The sequence below is a fragment of the Homo sapiens genome, chromosome 3 (genome assembly GCF_000001405.40).
Source record: "Homo sapiens chromosome 3, GRCh38.p14 Primary Assembly".
NCBI classification, from domain to species: Eukaryota; Metazoa; Chordata; class Mammalia; order Primates; family Hominidae; genus Homo; species Homo sapiens.
The window spans coordinates 142743662-142765916 of record NC_000003.12 but is presented as its reverse complement, the minus strand read 5'-3'; the positions used below and the strand labels follow the sequence as shown (position 1 = coordinate 142765916).

General features: G+C 36.1%; 1 protein-coding gene across 24 annotated transcripts in view; it reads right to left on the bottom strand.

Annotated features, from left to right (window-relative positions):
* The window catches only part of TRPC1 (transient receptor potential cation channel subfamily C member 1), an 83855-nt gene that overhangs the window by 41972 nt on the left and 19628 nt on the right, over positions 1-22255 (bottom strand). For 20 of the 24 annotated variants that reach the window (XR_007095723.1, XR_007095722.1, NM_001251845.2 and 17 more), the window contains one exon: positions 17457-17659. The exons of 3 other annotated variants lie outside the window; for them this stretch is intronic. Coding sequence is in view for 19 of the 21 variants with exons in the window: in NM_001251845.2 (NP_001238774.1) it covers positions 17457-17659 (203 nt within the window). In the remaining 2 variants the exon portion in view is untranslated. Of the gene's footprint in view, positions 1-3603; positions 3697-17456; positions 17660-22255 lie in introns of all 24 variants that reach the window. One more of the 24 variants, NM_001413385.1, reaches the window with a different exon arrangement.

Below are 22255 nucleotides of genomic sequence, written 5' to 3'. Positions count from 1 at the left end.
TCTTCTTTTGAAAAGTGTTCATGTCCTTTGCCCACTTTTTAATGGGGTTATTTAAGTTCTTTATAGGTTGTGGATATTAGGTCTTTGTCAGATGCATACTTTGCAGATATTTTCTCTCATTCTATAGATCATCTGTTTATTCCCTTTATAGTTTCTTTTGTTGTGTAGAAGCTCTTCAGTTTAATTAGGTCCCACTTGTCAATTTTTGTTTTTGTTGAAATTACTTTTGAGGACTTTAATCCACCTTGAGTTAATTTTTTTATATGGTGATAGGTAGGGGTCCAGTTTCATTCTTCTGCATCTGGATAGCCAGTTATTCTAAGACTATTTATTGAACAGGAAGCCTTTTTCCTCATTGCTTATTTTTGTTTACTTTGTCAAAGATCACATGGTGGGGGTGCAGCTTTATTTCTGGATTCTCTATTCTGTTCCATCGGTCTATATGTCTGTTTTTGTGTTGTACCATGTTGTTTTGGTTACAGTAGCCTTGTGGTATAGTTTGAAGTCAGGTAATGTGATGACTCTGACTTTGTTCTTTTTGCTTAAGATTGCTTTAACTTTTCAGTCCTTTTTTGGTTCCATATGAATTTTAAAATAGTTTTTTCTAAGTCTGTGAAAAATGATGTTGGTAGTTTGACGAGAATAGCATTGAATCTGTAAATTGCTTTGGGTAGTATGGCCATTTTAACACTATTAATTCTTCCTATCCATGAGCATGGACTGTTTCTCCATTTGTTTGTATTGTCTCTGATTTTCTTCAGTAATGTTTTGTAGTTCTCATTGTAGAGATTTTTTTTTACCTCCTGAGTTAGCTGTATTCTTACATATTTTATTCTTTTTGCAGCTATTGTAAATGGGACTGCATTCTTGATTTGGCCCTCAGCTTGAACAATGTTGATGTATAGAAATTCTGCTTGAAGATCAGCTGTTTGAAAATACACATTCAGCGGAGAAAAAAGACAAAAGAACAAAAAGGAACAAAGACTGCCTATAAGATATAAAAGAGTACCTCAAAAGACCAAATGTAAGAATTCCTGTGTTTAAGAGGGAGCAGAGCAAGAACAAGGGATAAATAACTTATTCAAAGAAATAACAACAGAAAACTTTCCAAAACTTGAGAAAGATATAAATATCCACGTACAGGAAGGTCTTAGACCACCAAACAGATTCAATCTATACAAGACATATAATAATCAAACTCACAAAGGTCAATGACAAAGAGAATACCCTAAAATCAGCTACAGAAAAGAAGCAAATAACATATAAAGAAGCCCCAATTCATCTGGAAACAGACTTCTCAATGAAACCATGCAGGCAGAAGGGAGTGGAATGGCATTTTCAAAGTGCCCAAAGGGAAAAAAAAGCCCTGCCATCCAAGTGTTTTGTATCCAGAAAAAATTGTTATTTAAATAAGAAGTAGAGATAAAGTCTTTCCCAGACAAATGAAAGCTGAGACAATTCATCACTACCAGATCCACCTTGCAAAAAATGCTAAATGGAGTTCTTCAATCTGGAAGAAAATACAAAATACCAGTGTGCAAAGAAAAAATGTTCAAGGTATAAAAACCATTGGTAAAATTAAGTATACAGACAAACACAGAATAATCTATTACTGTATCTGTGGTGTACAATCCATTCATATCTCTAGTGTGAAGCCTCCAAGACAAGTTTATCAAAAACAATAATAACTATAGCAACCTGTTAAGAAATAGGTAATATAAAAATATATCAGTTGACAACTAAAAGTGAAAATGAAATAGGTAATATAAAAATATATCAGTTGACAACTAAAAGTGAAAATGTTGGGAGAAGAAGCTAAAGTGTAGAATTTTTTTTTGCCTTTGTTTCCATTCTTTTGTCTGTGATCTAAAATAAGTGTCATCTCTTTAAAATAATTTGTTATATATATATATATATGTATGTATGTATGTGTATATATATATATATATATATATATTTCTTTTTTTTGAGACGGAGTCTCGCTCTATTGCCCAGGCTGGACTGCAATAATTTGTTATATTTATAAGATGTTTTTTGCAAGAATCATGGTAATGATAGTATGAAACCTATAATATATTCACTAAAAATAAACATCAATAAATTAAAATATACTACCAGAGATAATCACTTAACTACAAAGGAAGACAATAAGAAACAAAAAAAGGAAAAGAGAATTCTCAAAACAAGGAGAAAACAAGCAATAAAATGGTTGCAGTAAGTCCATACTTATTTACAATCACACTGAATGTAAATGGTCTCAATTGTCCAATTAAGAAGCATAGTGTGGCTTAATGGATAAAGAAATAAGACCCAACTATATGCTGCCTTCAAGGAATCCATTTCACTTATAAAGATACACATAGACTGAGACTGAAAGATATTCCACGTAACTGAAAACTAAAAAAGATCAGGAGTATCTATTCTTATATCAGATAAAATAGACTACAAATCAAAGACTAAAAAAAGACAAAGAGGGTCACTATATAATGATAAAGGTGGCAATTCAGCAAGAAGATATAACAATTATGAATATCTATGAACCCAACACTGGAGCCCCCAAGTATATAAAGTTAATGCTTGCTTTATATACATGAAGGCTCCAGTGTTAGGTTCATAGATAAACTACAATACAATAATAGTAGGGGACTTTAACATGCCACTCTAGTAATAGACAAATCATCTAGACAGAAAATCAACAAAGAAAGAGTAAAATTAAACTACGCACTAGATCTAATAGGCCTAACTGACATTTATAGAACATTTCACCCTATTGCTACAGAATATACATTCTTTTCACCAGCACATGAAACATTTTCCAGAACAGACCATATCTTAGGCTACAAAACAAGTCTAAACAAATTCAGAAAAATACAAATCACAAGTATCTTTTCTGACCATATGGAATAAAACTAGAAATCAATAATAAAAGGAATTTGGAAAATACACAGACACATGGAAATTAAGTAACATACTCTTCAATCACCAATGGGTCAATGAAGAAATTAAGAAGAAAATTTAAAAATTTATTGAAACAAATGAACATGGGAATATAACATACCAAAATCTATGAGACAGAGCAAAAGTAGTACTGAGAGGGAAGGTTATAGCAATAAATTCCCATATTAGAAAAGTAGAAAGAGTTCAAATAATCTAATGATGCACCTTGAAGAACTAGAAAATCAAGAATAGGCTGGGCACGGTGGCTCATGCCTGTAATCCCAGCACTTTGGGAGGCCACGATAGGAGGATCACTTGAGGTCAGGAGTTTGAGAGCAGTCTGGCCAACATGGTGAAACCCCATTTCTACTAAAAATACAAAAATTAGCCAGGCATGGTGGCAGACACCTGTAGTCCCAGCTACTCGGGAGGCTGAGGTGGGAGAATTGCTTCAACCCGGGAGGTGGAGGTTGCAGTGGCCGAGATCACGCCATTGCACTCCAGCCTGGGTGACAAAGCGAGACTCCGTCAAAAAAAAAAAAAAAAAAAAATCAAGAATAAACCAAACCGAAAATTAGCAGAAGAAGAGAAATAAAGATCGAAGCAGAAATAAATGAAATTGGAATTTAAAAAAATACAGAAGAGGCCAGGCACGGTGGCTCATACCTGTAATCCTAGCACTTTGGGAGGCCAAGGCAGGCAGATCACTTGAGTCCAGGAGTTCAAGACCAGCCTGGGCAACATGGTGAAACCCCATCTCTACAAAAAATGCAATAATTAGTCAGATGTGGTGGCACGTGCCTATAGTCCCAGCTACTTGAAGGGCTGAGGTGGGAGGATCACTTGAGCATAGGAGGTCAAGGCTGCGGTGAGCTGTGATCACGCCACTGTACTCCAGACTGGGTGACAGAGTGAGACTCTGTCTCAAAAAACCAAAAACAAAAACCACAGAAGATCAATGAAATGAAAAACTGATTTTTTGAAAAGATAAACAAAATCAACAAACCTTAGCTAGACTAAGAAAGAGAGATCCAAATAAAAAAATAAGAAATGAAAAAGGAGATATAACTGAAACCTTAGAAATACAAAGAATCATTAAATAATATTATAAACTACTATATGCAAAACTAATTGAAAAACCTAGAAAAAATGGTTAGATTCCTGGACACAGACAACCTACCATGATTGAGCCATGAAGAAATAGAAAACCTCAACAAACCAATCATAAGTAACAAGATCAAAGCCATAATAAAAAGTTTCCCATCAAAGAAGTGCCCAAGACCTGATGGATTCACTGCTGTATACTACCAAACATTTCAAGAAAACTAATACCAACCTTACTCAAACTCTTCAAAAATACTGAAAAGGAGGGAATGCTTCCAAACTCATCCAAAGAGGCCAGCATTACCCTGATACCAAAACCATACAAGGAACCAACAAAAAAAGAAAACTACAGGCCAATACACTTTGATATATTGATATAATATGAACATAGATGCAAAAATCCAGCAAACTGAATTCAACAACACATTAAAAAGATCACTTGTCATGATCAAGTGGGATTCATCCCAGAGATGCAAGAATGATTCAACATATATGTATCAATAGACATGATACATGACATTAACAGAATCAAGAACAAAAACCATATGATTATTTCAATGGATGCCAGAAAAGCATTCAATAAAATTCAACATCCCTTTATAACAACAACAACAACCAAAAAAACCCTCATCAAAACAGGTATAGGAGGGACATACTTCAAAATAATAAAAGCCAACAGGGAAAAATTGAAGGCCTTTCCTCTAAAGACTGGAACAAGATGATGATGCCCACTTTCCCACTATTATTCAACATAATATTGGAAGTCCTGGCCACAGCAATTAAGCAAGACAAAGAGATAAAGAGTATCCAAATTGGAAAGGAAGAAGTCATATTAGCCTTGTTCTCAGATGACATGATCTTACATCAAAAAAACCCTAAATACTCCACCAAAAAACTATTAGAAGTGGTAAAAAAAATTCAGTAAAGTTGCAGGATACAAAAATCAACATACAAATGTCAATAACATTTATATATGTCAAAGAACAATCTGAAAAAGAAATCAAAAAAGCAATCCCATTTACAATGGTTACAAAAAACAAAACAAAACAAAACAAACTAGGAATCAATCTAACCAAAGAAGTGAAAGATCTAGGCAAGGAAGACCATAAAACTCTGATGAAAAAAATAGAAGAGGTCACCAAAAAATGGAAAGGTATTCCATGCTCACGTACTGGAAGAATTAATGTTGTTAAAATGACAACACTACCCAAAGCAATTTTGAGATTCCATGCAATCCTTATCAAAATACCAACGACATTCTTCAGAGAAATAGAAAAAATAATACTAAACTTTATATGAAACCACAAAAGACTCCAAATAGCAAAGTAATCCTAAGCAAAAAGAACAAAGCTGGAAGCATCACATTACCTGACTTCAAAATACACTACACAGCTATAGTAACCCAAACAGCATGGTACTGGCATAAATATAGACACATAGACCAATGGAACATAATACAGACCCACATATAAGTCCATGCATTTATGACCAACTCATCTTTGACAAAGGTGCCGAGAACATATTTTGGGGAAAGGATAGTCTTTTTAATAAATGCTGCTGGGAAAGCTGGATTAACTATGTGGAAGAATGAAATGAAACTAGACCCCAATCTCTCACAATACACAAAAATTAAATCAAAACTGATTAAAAACTTAAATATACAACCTCAAATTAAACATTGGGGAAACTCTTCAGGACACTGGTCTGGGCCAATTTTTTTTTGTGTGTAAGGCCTCAAAAGCACAGACAAGGCCGGGCACAGTGGCTCACGCCTGTAATCCCAACACTTTGGGAGGCCGAGGTGGGTGGATCATGAGGTCAGGAGATCGAGACCATCCTGGCTAACACAGCGAAACCCCATCTCCACTAAAAAAATACAAAAAAATTAGCCGGGCGTGGAGGCTGGGGCAGGAGAATGGCATGAACCCAGGAGGCGGAGCTTGCAGTGAGCCGAGATCGCGCCACTGCACTCCAGCCTGGGCAACAGAGCAAGACTCCCTTCCTTACACCTTATACAAAAATTAATTCAAGATGGATTTAAAGACTTAAATGTTAGACCTAAAACCATAAAAACCCTAGAAGAAAACCTAGGCAATACCATTCAGGACATAGGCATGGGCAGGGACTTCATGACTAAAACACCAAAAGCAACGGCAACAAAAGCCAAAATTGACAAATGGGATCTAATTAAACTAAAGAGCTTCTGCACAGCAAAAGAAACTACAACCTACAGAATGGGAAAAGTGAAAAGGCAACCTACAGAATGGGAGAAAATTTTTACAATCTACCCATCTGACAAAGGGCTAATATCCAGAATCTACAAAGAACTTAAACAAATTTACAAGAAAAAATCAACCCCATCAAAAAGTGGGCAAAGGATATGAACAGACACTTCTCAAAAGAAGACATTTATGCACCCAACAGACACATGAAAAAATGCTCATCATGACTGGTCATCAGAGAAATGCAAATCAAAACCACAGTAAGATACCATCTCACACCAGTTAGAATGGCGATCATTAAAAAGTCAGGAAACAACAGATGCTGGAGAGGATGTAGAGAAACAGGAATACTTTTACACTGTTGGTGGGACTGTAAACTAGTTCAACCATTGTGAAAGACAGTGTGGTGATTTCTCAAGGATCTAGAACTAGAAATACCATTTGACCCAGCCATCCCATTACTGGGTATATACCCAAAGGATTATAAAACATGCTGCTATAAAGACACATGCACACTTATGTTTATTGTGGCATTATTCACAATAGCAAAGACTTGGAACCAACCCAGATGTCCATCAATAATAGACTGGATAAAAAAAATGTGGCACATATACACCATGGAATACTATGCAGCCATAAAAAAGGATGAGTTCATGTCCTTTGTAGGGACATGGATGAAGCTGGAAACCATCATTCTGAGCAAACTATCGCAAGGACAGAAAACCAAACACTGCATGTTCTCACTCATTGGTGGGAATTGAACAATGAGAACACTTGGACACAAGGTGGGGAACATCACACACCAGGGCCTATTGTGGGGTGGGGGAGGGGGGAGGGATAGCATTAGAGATATACCTAATGTAAATGACAAGTTAACCGGTGCAGCACACCAACATGGCACATGTATACCTATGTAACAAACCTGCACGACATGCACATGTACCCTAGAACTTAAAGTATAATTGAAAAAAAAGAAAAAAAAAGTACAGACAACCAAAGCAAAAATAGACAATTGAGATTACAGTAAGCTAAAACACTTCCACAAAACAAACAAAAGAGCCAACTCATAGAATGGGAGACTATATTTGCAAACTATCCATCTGACAAGAGATTAATAACCAGAATATGTAAGGAGCTCAAACAACTCAAAAGCAAAAAACCAAAAATAAATAATCTGATTTTACAATGGGCAAAAGATCTGAATGGATATTTCTTAAAAGAAAACATACAAATGACCAACAAGTATATGAAAAAATGTTCAACATCACAAATCACCAGAGAAATGCAAATCAAAATCACAATGCAGTATCATCGCACTCCAGTTAAAATAGTTTGTATCAGAATGGCACACAATAACAAATGCAAGCAAAGATGTGGACAAAGGGGAACTCTCACACACTGTTGCTGGAAATGTAAATAATTATAGCCACTATGGAGAACAGTATGGAGGTTCTTCAAAAAACTAAAAATAGAACTACCAGAGAACAGTATGGAGGTTCTTCAAAAAACTAAAAATAGAACTACCATATGAGGGTGGTGGGGGTGTTAGGAGAAGGTGGGGATGGTTAATGAGTACAAAAAAAAATAGAAAGAATAAGACCTAGTGTTTGATAGCACAATAAGGTGACTATAGTCCATAATTTAATTGTACATTTATTATTGTACATTATAAAAGAGTATAATTGGATTGTTTGCAACACAAAGGATAAATGCTTGAGGGGATGGATACCCCATTTTCCATGACCTGAGTATTACACTATTGCATGCCAGTATCAAAATATCCCATGTACCCAATAAATACATATATGTACTATGTACCCACAAAAAAATTTTTTTTTAATTATTATACTTTAAGTTCTGGGCTACATGTGCAGAACGTGCAGATTTGTTACATAGGTATACATGTGCCATGGTGGTTTGCTGCACCAATCAACCTGTCATCTAGGTTTTAAGCCCCGCATGCATTAGGTATTTGCCCTAATGCTATCCCTCCCCTTGCCCCCCATCCCCCAAGAGGCCCCGGTGTGTGATGTTCCCCTGTGTCCATGTGTTCTTATTGTTCAACTCCCACTTATGAGTGAGAACATGTGGTGTTTGGTTTTCTGTTCCTGTGTTAGTTTGCTGAGAATGATGGTTTCCAGCTTCATCCATGTCCCCACAAAGGACATGAATTCATGTCTACATGCCTAGTATTCCAGGGTATATATGTGCCACATTTTCTTTATCCAGTCTATCACTGGTGGGCATTTGGGTTGGGTCCTAGTCTTTGCTATTGTGAATAGTGCCGCAATAAACATGTGTGCATGTGTCTTTATAGAATGATTTATAATCCTTTGGGATTATTTTAAACATAATTTTTTTTTAAAAAAAAGAACTACCATATGATCCAGCAATTCCACTATTAGATACATATATATATATATCCAAAAGAAAGGAAATCAATATAGCCAAGAAACATCTGCATTCCCATGTTTATTGCAGCATTGTACACAATAGTCAAGATATGGACTCAACCTAAGTACCCATCAATGGATGAATGGATTTTAAAAACATGGTTTATATACATAACGGAATATTATTCAGCCATTGAAAAGAATGAAATCCTGTAATTTGCAGCAACATGGATGGAACCTGAGGCCATTATGCTAAGTGATATAAGCCAAGCACAGAAAGACAACTTTCACATGTATTTGGTAGCTAAAACAGTAGATCTCATGAAGATAGAGAGTAGACTGGTGGCTACCAGAGGCCAGGAAAGAATGGGATGTATGAAGGGGAAAGAAAATAATATTCATGTATTTATTACCACTGAACTGTACACTTAAAAATGGCAAAGATGGTAAATTATAGACATATATTTTACCTCAACAAGAAATAAAAAAATTTTTAAAACCACAGTAAGAAACCACTACACTCCTGCTAAAATGACTAAGAAAAAAGACCAGCAATATCAAGTTTCAGTAAGTATGTGGCAGAATTAGAACCATCATACCAGGGCCTGGTGCAGTGGCTCATGCCTGTAGTCCCAGCACTTTGGGAGGCCGAGGCAGGCGGATCACGAGGTCAGGAGATCGAGACCATCCTGGCTAACACGGTGAAACCCCGTCTCTACTAAAAATACAAAAAATTAGCCGGGCGTGGTGGTGGGCGCCTGTAGTTCCAGCTACTCGGGAGGCTGAGGTAGCAGAATGGCGTGAACCCGGGAGGCGGAGCTTGCAGTGAGCTGAAATCGCGCCACTGCACTCCAGCATGGGCAACAGAGCGAGACTCTGTCTCAAAAAAAAAAAAAAAAGAACCATCATACCTTACCAGTAAAAATGTTAAACTGTTTCCAACCACTTTGGAGAACAGTTTGACAACTACTTAAAAAGTTAACACACCCAGAAATTCCATTCCTAGGTGTCTACCCAACAAAAATAAAAACATGTCCGCACAAAGACTTGTAAGTGAATGTTCACTGCCAAAAACTGGAAACAACTCAAATGTTGAGCAGCTAGTGAACAGATAAATAAAAGGTGGTACTATAACCATACAATGGAATACTGCTCAACAATTTTTAAAATGAATTACTGACATATGAAACAATATGGATGGACCTCAAAAATATTATGGTAAGTAAAAGAAAGCCAGAGACATAAGTCAAGATATTTTATGATTCCATTTATATGAAATTTCTAGTAAAGAAAAGACTACAAAAATAGAAAAACTGGTGGTTGCATGGAGCTGGGGATGGAAACAAGGATTGACCATGAATGAACAGGCAAGAGAGAACTTTTTCCAATGATAGAAATGTTAGAATATTAGATTATGGTAATAGTTACACACTTTAAACATACTGTAAATCATCCATTTCCACACTGTAAAAAAAGCCTTTTTTGAGGCCCTATGGAGTAAGGTGATTATGATCTGTGTAACTTTCTGGGGTTTTGGTTTCACCCACACCAATATAAGAATATGGAAATATGTAATTCCCTATGTCCAAAGTACTTTTAAAACACTAATTTCATATGGTTCAACCTAAATATGTGGGCAACTATAAAAAGAACTGGAGTAAATGAGGCAAGATTAGTAAGGCAGGCAAACAATAAAAAAAGGAAAGGAAACATGAATGGAATTCTGTATAGGCAGAAATTGGGAGAAGGGATTTCTAACATGTAACTAAGCCATTGATGAGACTAGTTTCCAATCTAACACTGTAGCGAAGAGCCACATTTCTTTCTTTCTTTTTTAGATGGAGTTTTGCTCTTGTCACCCAGGCTGGAGTGCAATGGTGCAATCTTGACTCACCGCAACCTCTGCCTCCCAGGTTTAAGTGATTCTCCTGCCTCAGCCTCCCAAGTAGCTGGGATTACAGGTGCCTGCCACCACACCCGGCTAATATTTTTGTATTTGTAGTAGAGATGGGTTTTCACCATGTTGGCCAGGCTGGTCTCGAACTCCTGACCTCAGGTGATCCACCTGCCTCAGCCTCCCAAAGTGCTGGCATTACAGGCATGAGCCACTGCGCCCAGCAAGACTCAACATTTCTAACCAATGGTAATGTTAACCATTAAGGAACACGTGTAGAATACCAAACTAGTAACAGTGGTTAGCTCTAGAAATGAAAAGAAAAATTGGGATTGAAAATTGGGATTGAACAATACTTCCCTTTAAAGATTCTGGCAATATGGAAGCATAATGTCACAATACCTGAATCTTACAGGCTATATTATTCATTCATTCTCATATCAAAATCACCCTTTTTGGAGATTCATACCATTCAGTTATTCCAATACTCCCTCATCATCATCACTGTCATTTCCTACTTCCGTGTCACTCTTGTATATTCATTGAGGACTGTGGCACTAAGCAGTCTCTCTCCCAAGCCATTTTCCTGCCACTATGCCAGAAGAATTCCATATTCCTAACATGACCCCAGCCAACATCCTACTCTCTTGGTAGATACTGAGCCAAGTTTTACAAATTCATTTGCCTTCAGGGGTGATGTTGGTAATAATATGAATAAAGCTGAGTGTACATAGGGCTTACTGGCATTCAAATTCAAAATTATAAAAAACACTATGCAAGTTAAACAAAGCTCTTCTGCAAATTAAATTTTTGTTTTTTATTTTTATTTTTTTATTATACTTTTAAGTTTTAGGGTACATGTGCACAATGTGCAGGTTTGTTACATATGTATACATGTGCCATGTTGGTGTGCTGCATCCATTACATTAACTCGTCATTTTTTTTATTATACTTTATGCAAATTAAATTTAACTGGCAATCCATTTCTTTGCTATCTTTCCCAATTCCGGTGTTTCTCAAGTTTTTTTAAATTTTTGTCTTCCACTAATAGATAATAAATAAAGACTCCTTCTTTAAAGTTATTTGAAGTTTCAAAATACATCAAATATTGAGACTAAAACCAAATCACAGCTATTATATTACTGAAAATGTTTTTCTAAACTACAATGGTTTACTACCCTTCCCTGGCCCATTAGGAAATATTACCCTGAAACTACACCATCTCTAAAATTTAAAAAACAATTGTCTCTCTCTTTTTTTTTTTTTTTTTTTTTTTTGAGACGGAGTCTCGCTCTGTCACTTAGGCTAGGGTAGAGTGTGGTGGTGCAATCACAGCTTACTGTAGCCTCAACCTCCTGGGCACAGGTAATCCTCCCACCTCAGCCTCCTGCATAGCTGGGACCACAGGTACAAGTCACCTCATCTGGCTATTTTTGTAAAGACAAGGTCTAGCCATATGGCCCAGGATGGTCTGGAATTCCTGGACTCAAGTGATTCACCCGCCTTGGCCTCCCAAAATGCTAGGATTATAGGCGTGAGCCACCATGTCCAGCCATCTCACTTTCTTACTGCCAGTATATTGGCTCTTCAAATTCTGAGAAACCTTGCTATTTCTCTAAGTTTTTTTTTTTTTTTTTTTTGAGGCAGAGTCTCAGCTCACTGTGACCTCCACCTCCCAGGTTCAAGCGATTCTCCTGCCTCAGCCTCCTGAGTAGCTGGGACTACAGGTGCATGCCACCACGCCCAGCTAATTTTTGTACTGTTAGTAGAGACGAGGTTTCACCAAGTTGGCCAGGCTGGTCTCGAACTCTTGACCTCAGGTGATCGGCCTGCCTCGGCCTCCAAAGTGCTAGGATTACAGGCGTGAGCCACCGCGCCCGGTCTCTTTTTACTAATTTTGTTAACCTCCTTTTCTTCTGCAGTTCTACTTAGCAATTCCCAGAAATGACTTAAGTCAGGGGTCCTTGCCATTTCGTACAAATGTTTTCTCAAAGATCATTAACAAACTCTCTCAAACTCTACTGTTAATGTTCCAAACCATTTGCAGTTTCCAAATAAACAAATCACATGCTGTACTTTCTGCCTAAAATACCTTTCAATTTTTAACTCTTACTCATACTAAAAGATCTATGTCAAGTCATAGCTCCCCTAAAAGCCTTCAAACAAGTTTGTCCCCCAACCTCAAACCAAGCCAGGTAAAGTGTTTTCTCTAGCTTCAACCTGTAAGACCCCGCTGCTTCAACTACACACTTATTTAACAAGCATATAATTTGAAAAATATTCACACTTAATTGTAGGGAAAAGAAAGAGAGATCAGACTGTCACTGTGTCTATGCAGAAAGGAAAGACGTAAGAGACTCCATTTTGAAAAAGACCTGTACTTTAAACAATTGCTTTGCTGAGATGTTGTTAATTTGTAGCTTTGCCCCAGCCACTCTGACCCAGCCACTTTGACTCAACTTGGAGCTCACAAAAACATGTGTTGTATAAAATCAACGTTTAAGGGACCTAGGGCTGTGCAGTACGTGCCTTGTTAACAAAATATTTACAAGCAGTGTACTTGGTAAAGGTCATTGCCATTCTCTAGTCTCAATAAACCAGGGGCACAATGCACTGTGGAAAGCTGCAGGGACCTCTGCCCTTGAAAGCAGGGTATTGTCCAAGGTTTCTCCCCATGTGATAGTCTGAAATATGGCCTCGTGGGATGAGAAAGACCTGACTGTCCCCCAGCCCTACACCCGTAAAGGGTCTGTGCTGAGGTGGATTAGTAAAAGAGGAAAGCCTCTTGCAGTTGAGATGGAGGAAGGCCACTGTCTCCTGCTTGCCCCTGGGAACTGAATGTCTCGGTGTAAAACCCGATTGTACATTTGTTCAACTCTGAGATAGGAGAAAAGCTGCCCTGTGGCGGGAGGGGAGACATGTTTGCAGTAATATTGCCTTGTTATTCTTTACTCCACTGAGATGTTTGGGTGGAGAGAAACATAAATCTGGCCTACGTGCACGTCCAGGCATAGTACTTTCCCTTGAACTTAATCATGATATAGATTCTTTTGCTCACATGTATTTTGTTGACCTTCTCCTTATTATCACCCTGCTCTCCTACTACATTCCTTTTTGCTGAAATAATGAAAATAATAATCAATAAAAACTGAGGGAACTCAGAGGCCGGTGCCGGTGCAGGTCCTTGGTGTGCTGAGTGCCAGTCCCCTGGACCCATTGTTGTTTCTTTATACTTTGTCTCTGTGTCTTATTTCTTTTCTCCGTCTCTCATCCCACCCAACTAGAAATACCCACAGGTGTGGAGGGGCAGGCCACCCCTTCACTTAATACTAATAAAGGATTTTAAAACTGGAAAAAGCCTTAAAGATAATTTCTGCTTGTCATTTTATAAACTAGTCATTTTAAAACTAAAAAGTTAAGTGATGTAGCCATCGCTATCAACCAGATCTTATCAAAGAGAAACACAGATCTCTTTGTAAAATAGACTTGAAAATAGAAAAAATTTCCAGGTAAACCTCTGCAAATAAACATCAGATTGATTCCCAGGAGACTTTCCCAAATTAGAGATCTGTCACTATCTCAAATCCATCAAAGGTTTGTTCTTAAGGTGAGGAAAGAGTGAGGGTGGATGGTTTACAGCCTTAAAGTCTATTTCATATACTGTTTAACAATCCTTAACCTAAAAATAGTTTGTCACCAGGCTGCCTGGGACTTCCAGATGATATTCTCCACAGTAGGTATTATATTTGATACTATTTCAACTATATTTAATTACCATTTACATACACACACACAGTCATGCATTGTGTAACAGGAATATATTCTGAGAAATGTGTTGTTAGACAACTTCATCGTTTTGCGAACATCATTAACTGAATTTACACAAACCTAGTTGACATAGCCCATTAAATACCTAGGCTATATGGTATAGCCTACTGCTCCTAGGCTACAAAACTGTATAGCATGTTACTATGCTAAATACCGTAGGTAACTGTAACACAATAGTAAATATTTGCATATCTAAACATAGAAAAGGTACAGTAAAAATACAGCATAAAATATTAAAAAATGGTATACCTGTACAGGGCATTTACCATCAGTGGCTTGCAGAATTGGAAGTTGCCCTGGGTGAGGTAGTGAGTGGGTGGTAAGTGAATGTGAAGGCCTAGAACATTACTGTACTACTACAGGCTTTATAATAACTATACACTTAGGCTACCCTAAATGTATATTTTTAAAGTTTCTTTAATACTAAATTAAACCTAGCTCACAGTAATTTTTTTATTTTGTAAACTTTAAATTTTAACTTTTTTACCATTTTGGAGTAACAGCTTAAAACACAAACACATACAGCTGTACAAAATATTATTTCTTCATATCTTTATTCTATAAGCTTTTTACTATTGTTAATTTTTAAAAATTTTACTTTTAAGTTCTGGGATACATGTGCAGAATGGCAGGTTTGTTACATAGGTATACACGTGCCATGGTGGTTTGTTCTCATTGTTCAACTCCCACTTATGAGTGAGACATGCAGTGTTTGGTTTTTCATTCCTGTGTTAGTTTGCTGAGAATGACGGTTTCCAGTTTCATCCATGTCCCTGCAAAGGACATGAACTCATCCTTTTTTATGGCTGCATAGTATTCCATGGTGTATTCTTGCCACATTTTCTTTATCCAGTCTATCATTGGTGGGCATTTGGGTTGGTTCCTACTCTGTGCTATTGTGAATAGCGCTGCAATAAACATACGTGTGCATGTGTCTTTATAGTAAAATGATTTATAATCCTTTGGGTATATATCCAGTAATGGGATTGTTGGGTCAAATGGTATTTCTGGTTCTAGATTCTTGAGGAATCACCACACTGTCTTCCACAATGGTTGAACTAATTTGCACTCCCACCAACAGTGTAAAAGCATTTCTATTTCTCCACATCCTCTCCAGAATCTGCTGTTTCCTGACTTTTTAATGATCACCATTCTAACTGGCATGAGATGGTATCTCACTGTGGTTTTGATTTGGATTTCTCTAATGACCAGTGATTATGAGCTTTTTTTCATATGTTTGTTGGCCGAATAAATGTCTTCTTTTGACAAGTGTCTGTTCATATGCTTCACCCACTTTTTGATGGGGTTGTTTTTTTCTCATAAATTTAAGTTCCTTGTAGATTCTGGATATTAGCCCTTTGTCAGATGGATAGATAGCAAAAATTTTCTCCCATTCTGTAGTTTGCCTGTTCACTCTGATGATAGTTTCTTTTGCTGTGCAGAAGCTCTTTAGTTTAATTAGATCCCATTTGTCAATTTTGGCTTTCGCTGCCATTGCTTTTGGTGTTTTAGTCATGAAGTCTTTGCCCATGCCTATGTCCTGAATGGTATTGCCTAGGTTTTCTTCTAGGGTTTTCACGGTTTTAAGTCTTACGTTTAAGTCTTTAATCCATCTTGAGTTAATTTTTGTATAAGGTGTAAGGAAGGGGTCCAGTTTCAGTTTTCTGCATATGGCTAGCCAGTTTTCCCAACATATTTATTAAATAGGGAATCCTTTCCCCGTTGCTTGCTTTTGTCAGGTTTGTCAAAGATCAGATGGTTGTAGATGTGTGGCATTATTTCTGAGGCCTCTGTTCTGTTCCATTGGTCTATATATCTGTTTTGGTAACATTACCATGCCATTTTGGTTATTGTAGCCTTGTAGTATAGTTTGAAGTCAGGTAGCGTGATGCCTCCAGCTTTGTTCTTTGTAAAATTTTTTATTAACTTTTTTCTTTTTAGACTATTTTATTAAAAATTAAGACACAAACATACACATTAGTTTAAGCCTAGGATGATCAATATCACTGTCTTCCACCTCCATATCCTGTCCCAATGGAAGGTCTTCAGGGGTAATAACATGCATGGAGCTGTCATCTATGAATACAATGCCTTCTTTTGGAATATTTCCTGAAGGAACTGCCTGAGGCTGTTTTAGTTAACTATTTTTTTATAAGTAGAAGGAATACACACTAACATAATGATAAAAGTATAGTAAATATATAAACCAGTAACAGTCATTATTATCAAGTATTATGTACTGTATAAAATTATATGTGCTCTACTTTTTTTAAATGACTGGCAGCACAGTAGGGTTTGTTTACACCAGCATCACCACAAACGTGAGTAATGCGTTGCACTATGATGTGACCACAGCAATGACATCAGTAGGCGATAAGAATTTTTCAGCTCCATTTTAATCTTACAGGACCGATGTCATATATGTGAACTGTTTTTGAACCAAAATGTCATGTAGCACATGACTGTATGTATAAATGTTTCTGCTGAAAATCAGATTCTCAAATCTAGTCCAGCACCATGTATCTTATACAGCATGCCCACGTGTGATCTTGCTCAACCTGTGACAGGGTATTTTCTTGGTCAATCAATCCTCAGTTGTTCTTAACATTTTTAATTGAAGAAACAGGAAGAGATGATCAATAAGAAAGAGAAAAAGACTTGAACATTGTGTGAGAGGGGAAGATAGAGGCATAAAAGGTCAATACTTAGTTAGACAGAAAATAGTTTTGATTTCTTTATAAATGAGATAGGAGGTGGTATCTCCACTCCTTCCACGACTTGGAACTTCTCTTGGATTAATAAACTCTGCCTCTAAAAAGCAAATAGTGCCCCTGCCAGCAGGAGTATGAGATAACTTCATTCATAATTTGAAGGATTTTTGCAATTATTCAGCATTTGGTGAACACTTCTTAAAAATGCAGAATGCATTATATAAAACAAAGGAGCTACAAGTTTGGCTTTCATAAGTCACCCCAGCATCACATTTCTTAAAAGCTGCATAGAAAGAATACCAATTTTAAAAATCAACATTGTTGATATATATCACACATCTATTTATCAAAAGTTTAATGTTCTAACCTGGAATGCCGGAGGCTATCCTTTTTGTTTTTTGCAGAACACAATGTGCATTCACAGCCAACTGCATGGGGCTTGGGTAGAGATACATCCTGTTTTAAGAGCATTGTAAGAATTTCATAGTTGTTACGATGAGCAGCTAAAATGACAGGTGCAACATCCATAGTTGTTGAATACTCAGGATTCTGAATTCGTTCCATTAGTTTCTGAAAAATATTTATATAAATGTCCAAAGTTATTATTTGTGACTTCAAAAAATATATTTATCTGAAGAATGAAATGAAAAAATAGGAAGGCACAAAGAACTTAAGAATTATTTAAGGAATATGTTAAACATTTTGCTTGGACTAAATTTTTCTTTGAAACCTCAAAACTTAACTCTAATTAATAAATGCAATGTAATCATAACAGACAAAATCTTCAATAGGTAACATTCATTTAACTAGAGGTCTGTTTTTTCCAACAAAGAAGTGAGAATATCTAGAGAAATATCTTAGGGAAAAGTGTTTAATTTTCACAAGATTATAGAATCATGCCTGACAAAAATAAAGAAGAATGTTAGAAAAATATATTAGAAAAATAAAAATGCTAAAAAATAGGGAGAATATTAACATGTGAGAAAAACTAAGAATTTCACCTCTATGGCAAACCTTATCACATTGACAGCAATGCAGCTACTTGAAAAGGGCAATAGGAAGCACTCTTCATTTTGTATAATTTTCTACACATTTTCAATCATTACATATACTACTTCCTACTATAAACGCCAAAAAATTAACAATAATGCTAGTATTTAATGAGTTCTGGAACTGTTAGGCACTTTACATTTATCATCTCATTTAATTGCCACAGTAGCCTGCAAAACCAAGCATTATAATCCCCACGAAGAAACTGAGGCTCAGAGAAGTTAATGTGCCTGAGCCACAAACAGGGTGGCTGGGTGCTGATCAGAATCCAGGTTTGTATTACTCTAGAGCTGGAGCTCCTTCCACTACAGGAGTCCATGGGTGTGGTAAGAGCATGAAATGAGGAAAATACCATTAGTAATTAAAGAACCAGGCTTAAATAAAAAGGTTGACTATTTTATAACTATCGTATTTTCTAATACTTACTTTTTTTTTGCAATATTATAAAAGTAGTGTATATACTTATTATAAAATATCTGAAAATGTAGAAAATCAGAAAGAATTTTAAAAATACCCATATTCCTACTACCCAAGGAACATTTTCCAGTACAGTATTTCATTTTAATCCTTTTTCTACTACACCCCCCTTTTAAGGACATCTTTGGCATAAACAGTAGGTATTCTAAGGACCAATGATTAAACAGTGGTCATTAATATCTCCAAGATCAGGGACCCTTTTAATAATCCATAAAGCAGGATCTTTACATAGCCCAGAATCTTCAGAAAAAAATAATTCATGCACATAATTTTATATGCAATTTAAGGAAGTTCATAGATTCTGTGTTCAAGTATTTTATTTTGCTAATTTACCATAAACGTCTTTATGAAAAGAGTGTTTTGCAAATTTAGGATTATCTCATTAACATAAAAGCCCAGCAGCAGAATTATGGGTCTAAAGGCCATGACCAGTTTTTTTTTTTTTGGTGGAGTCTCGCTCTTTCGCCCAGGCTGGAGTGCAGTGGCACTATCTCGGCTCACTGAAAGCTCCGCCTCCCGGCCATGAACAGTTTTGAAGCTCTTGAAACATATTGTTAAAGTCCTTTTAATAGTTTATATTACCAATAATATAAGGAGGTACCCATTTCACACTAAAGTTTTACTCACCCGTCTTAGGCATGATCACTCCCAATTTATAGTGAAAAATACTATCATGAAATTGTAATTTAATTTCCTTTGATCACTGGTAAGTTTTAATATTTTCTGATATACTTATCTGATTTTCCTCCTCTTTTATGACTAATTTGTTTATATACTTATTTATTTATTGAGGACTTCAAATTAATGACTTTATTTAAAATTACAGAGAAACCTAAAACTAGCCCTTTTCCATCTTATCATTGCATTACTGGTTATAAAGAAGAATAAAATATATTTAATCCCTTAAGAGAAAAGTGGTCCTCATGTTTCTTATGAAACATACTTAACTGTATGAAAAACATCACTAGATATGCATAAGATTAAAGTTCATAATTCCATTGTTCATAATATAATCTGTATACTATTAAATAAAAAACCTAAATTTGAAAGTCAATTGCCAAAAAGACAATCTGGCAAGCCAAGAATACAGAATGAATTCATTGAAATGCTAAAAGAATATTACCATTACTGAAACGCTAAAAGAAACAATATTTTTCTTCTGCTTATAGCCAGTTTATATTCCCTCAGTTATTTAAAATATATAAAAATATTTAATATTGCCTCTCTAGAAGTAAAAGGGCTATCAAGATATGATCTTGGCTGGGCCTGTAATCCCAGCACTTTGGGAGGCCGAGAAGGGTAGATCACCTTAGGTCAAGAGTTCCAGACCAGACTGGCCAACATGGTGAAACCCCATCTCTATTAAAAATACAAAATTAGCTGGGCATGGTGGGACGTGCCTGTAATCCCAGTTACTCCGGAGGCTGAAGCAGGAGAATCACTTGAACCCGGGAAGTGGAGGTTGCAGTGACCTGAGATCACGCCATTGCACTGCAGCCTGGACAACAAAACAAGAGCGAAACTAAGTCTCAAAAAAATAAAATAAAATAAAAGAAGGTATGATCTTGCTGTCATTGAGTGTATTTAAATAAAGGCTGAATAATCTTTATTTGTTAGAGACAGAGTAGAAAGTGTTCTTTTCTTTTTCTTTTTTGTTTTAGAAGAGTTTTGCTCTGTCGCCCAGGCTGGAGTGCAGCGGCTCGATCTCAGCTCACTGCAACCTCCACCTCCAAGGCTCAAGCAATTCTCCTGCCTCAGCCTCCCAAGTAACTGGGATGACAGGTGCACGGCACCACGCCCGGCTAATTTTTCTATTTTTAGTAGAGATGGGGTTTCTCCATATTGGTCAGGCTAGTCTTGAACTCCCAACCTCAGATGTTCCACCCGCCTCGGCCTCCCAAAGGTTATTTTACTAAGTAGGTGAGGGCTGCCAACACTAAGATTTAATCGTTAGTGATAATGGTGATGAATAAAACCAGTCAATGGTTCCAGTACTCAAGCACACTACACCCCACCCTTCCCCCAGGAAAGGAAATGGACTAAAAGGCTAGAAGATGGGACAGGTGTGCCAAAATATAATAATAACTGCAAGATAAGTGGCAGAAAATTGAATGGTATTTTAGATATTTCTGATGCTTTGGATAGGGACTATATTCTTAGCCTTTTGTTCCTTATTCCTGTTGATTTCTTACCACCACTTAAACTAGATGGTACTATCCTCTGGAGAAAGTCACACTTTTGTAATAGTCTGAATGAGTAAGATTTTTCAGTTACTATATAACAAAGTATGCAATTTAGCAGAGCCTCTCACATTTCTCAAACATGGCAGAGAGTCAACAACCAATTTATAATTCTCTCTTAAAACAGTATTTTTCTTCTGCTTATAGCCAGCCTATATTGCCAGCAGTTATTTAAACTGCTTGTTTCACGGTATCGTCACCAATAATGAATGTTATCATGTTTAAAATTTGATTAAAAAACAATAAAATTAGCATTTATTTAGTAGTGACTATCCTCCTAATTACAAAAGCAATAAAGAAAAATAAAAAGAGTACAAAAAAATCCATAATTTGGTTAGTCAATGAGAGATGATGATTGTTAGGTAACATTTTGTTGCATTTCCACACAGTCCCTTTTCTACGCATATTTTTAACCGTGGTAAGTATTTTAACCATAGTAAGTATTCCACTTACTACGTTATATTTTTCCATGTTCCTAACTATTCTTTTAAAAGTACTGTTTTAATGACTGCATAATATTCCATTGTACATATATGTAATCATTTATATTTCCTATCTTCTATTTTGGAATGTTTAGATTATGTCACATGGGCTTTTAAAAATTACTACAAATAAGATCACAACCAACATTTTTGTCCACATTTCTGACCATTTCCTTGATAAGTTCCCAGAGGAGAAAGCACTAAGTTAAAGCATATGAACACCTTTCTTATGACAGATCCTGCCAAAACACTTTCCAAAATACCTGCCTCACTAGTAGCATGAGACTGTAATACTCCCTTGCTATCAATGATTTTTTTTAAATTTTCAACTTTAATAAGTAAATTTGGTAAGTTTAAAATTAGTATCTTACTGTATTTGATTATCATTAAGATTTAACATTTTGTATTTTCTGCTATTTCTATGTCCTTTTCTAATATGTTTTTCACCAATTTGTCCAATATTAAGATTATTAATTTATGATATATGCTGCAAATATCTTTTGCCAGTTATTCATCTGCTTTCTAAATTTTGTCTGATGTCTGGATTCCAAAAATTTAACTTTTTTAACAGCAAAAACTGTGCCACTGTGATTTCTGTCCATTGCTTTTATGCACATAAAGTCTTTCTACTCACGATCAGTTAAACATTCACCTACATTTTCTTCCAGTTTGTTGGTTTCATTGTTTACATTTAATTCTTATCTATCTGCAAACTAATCTATATTTTCAACATTACCTGCAGAATATTTCAAATGGTAAATACTGGTCCACAGTGACAAAATTATGGAAATATCAACTAAATTTAAAAAGTTTTCCTGAAAGAAATACTAATTATTCCTGCAAGTGTCCACTTTTAATATTTTACAGAGTGAGAAAAAATATCTATTTTTTGAAAAAACAAAATAAATTTGAGGGAA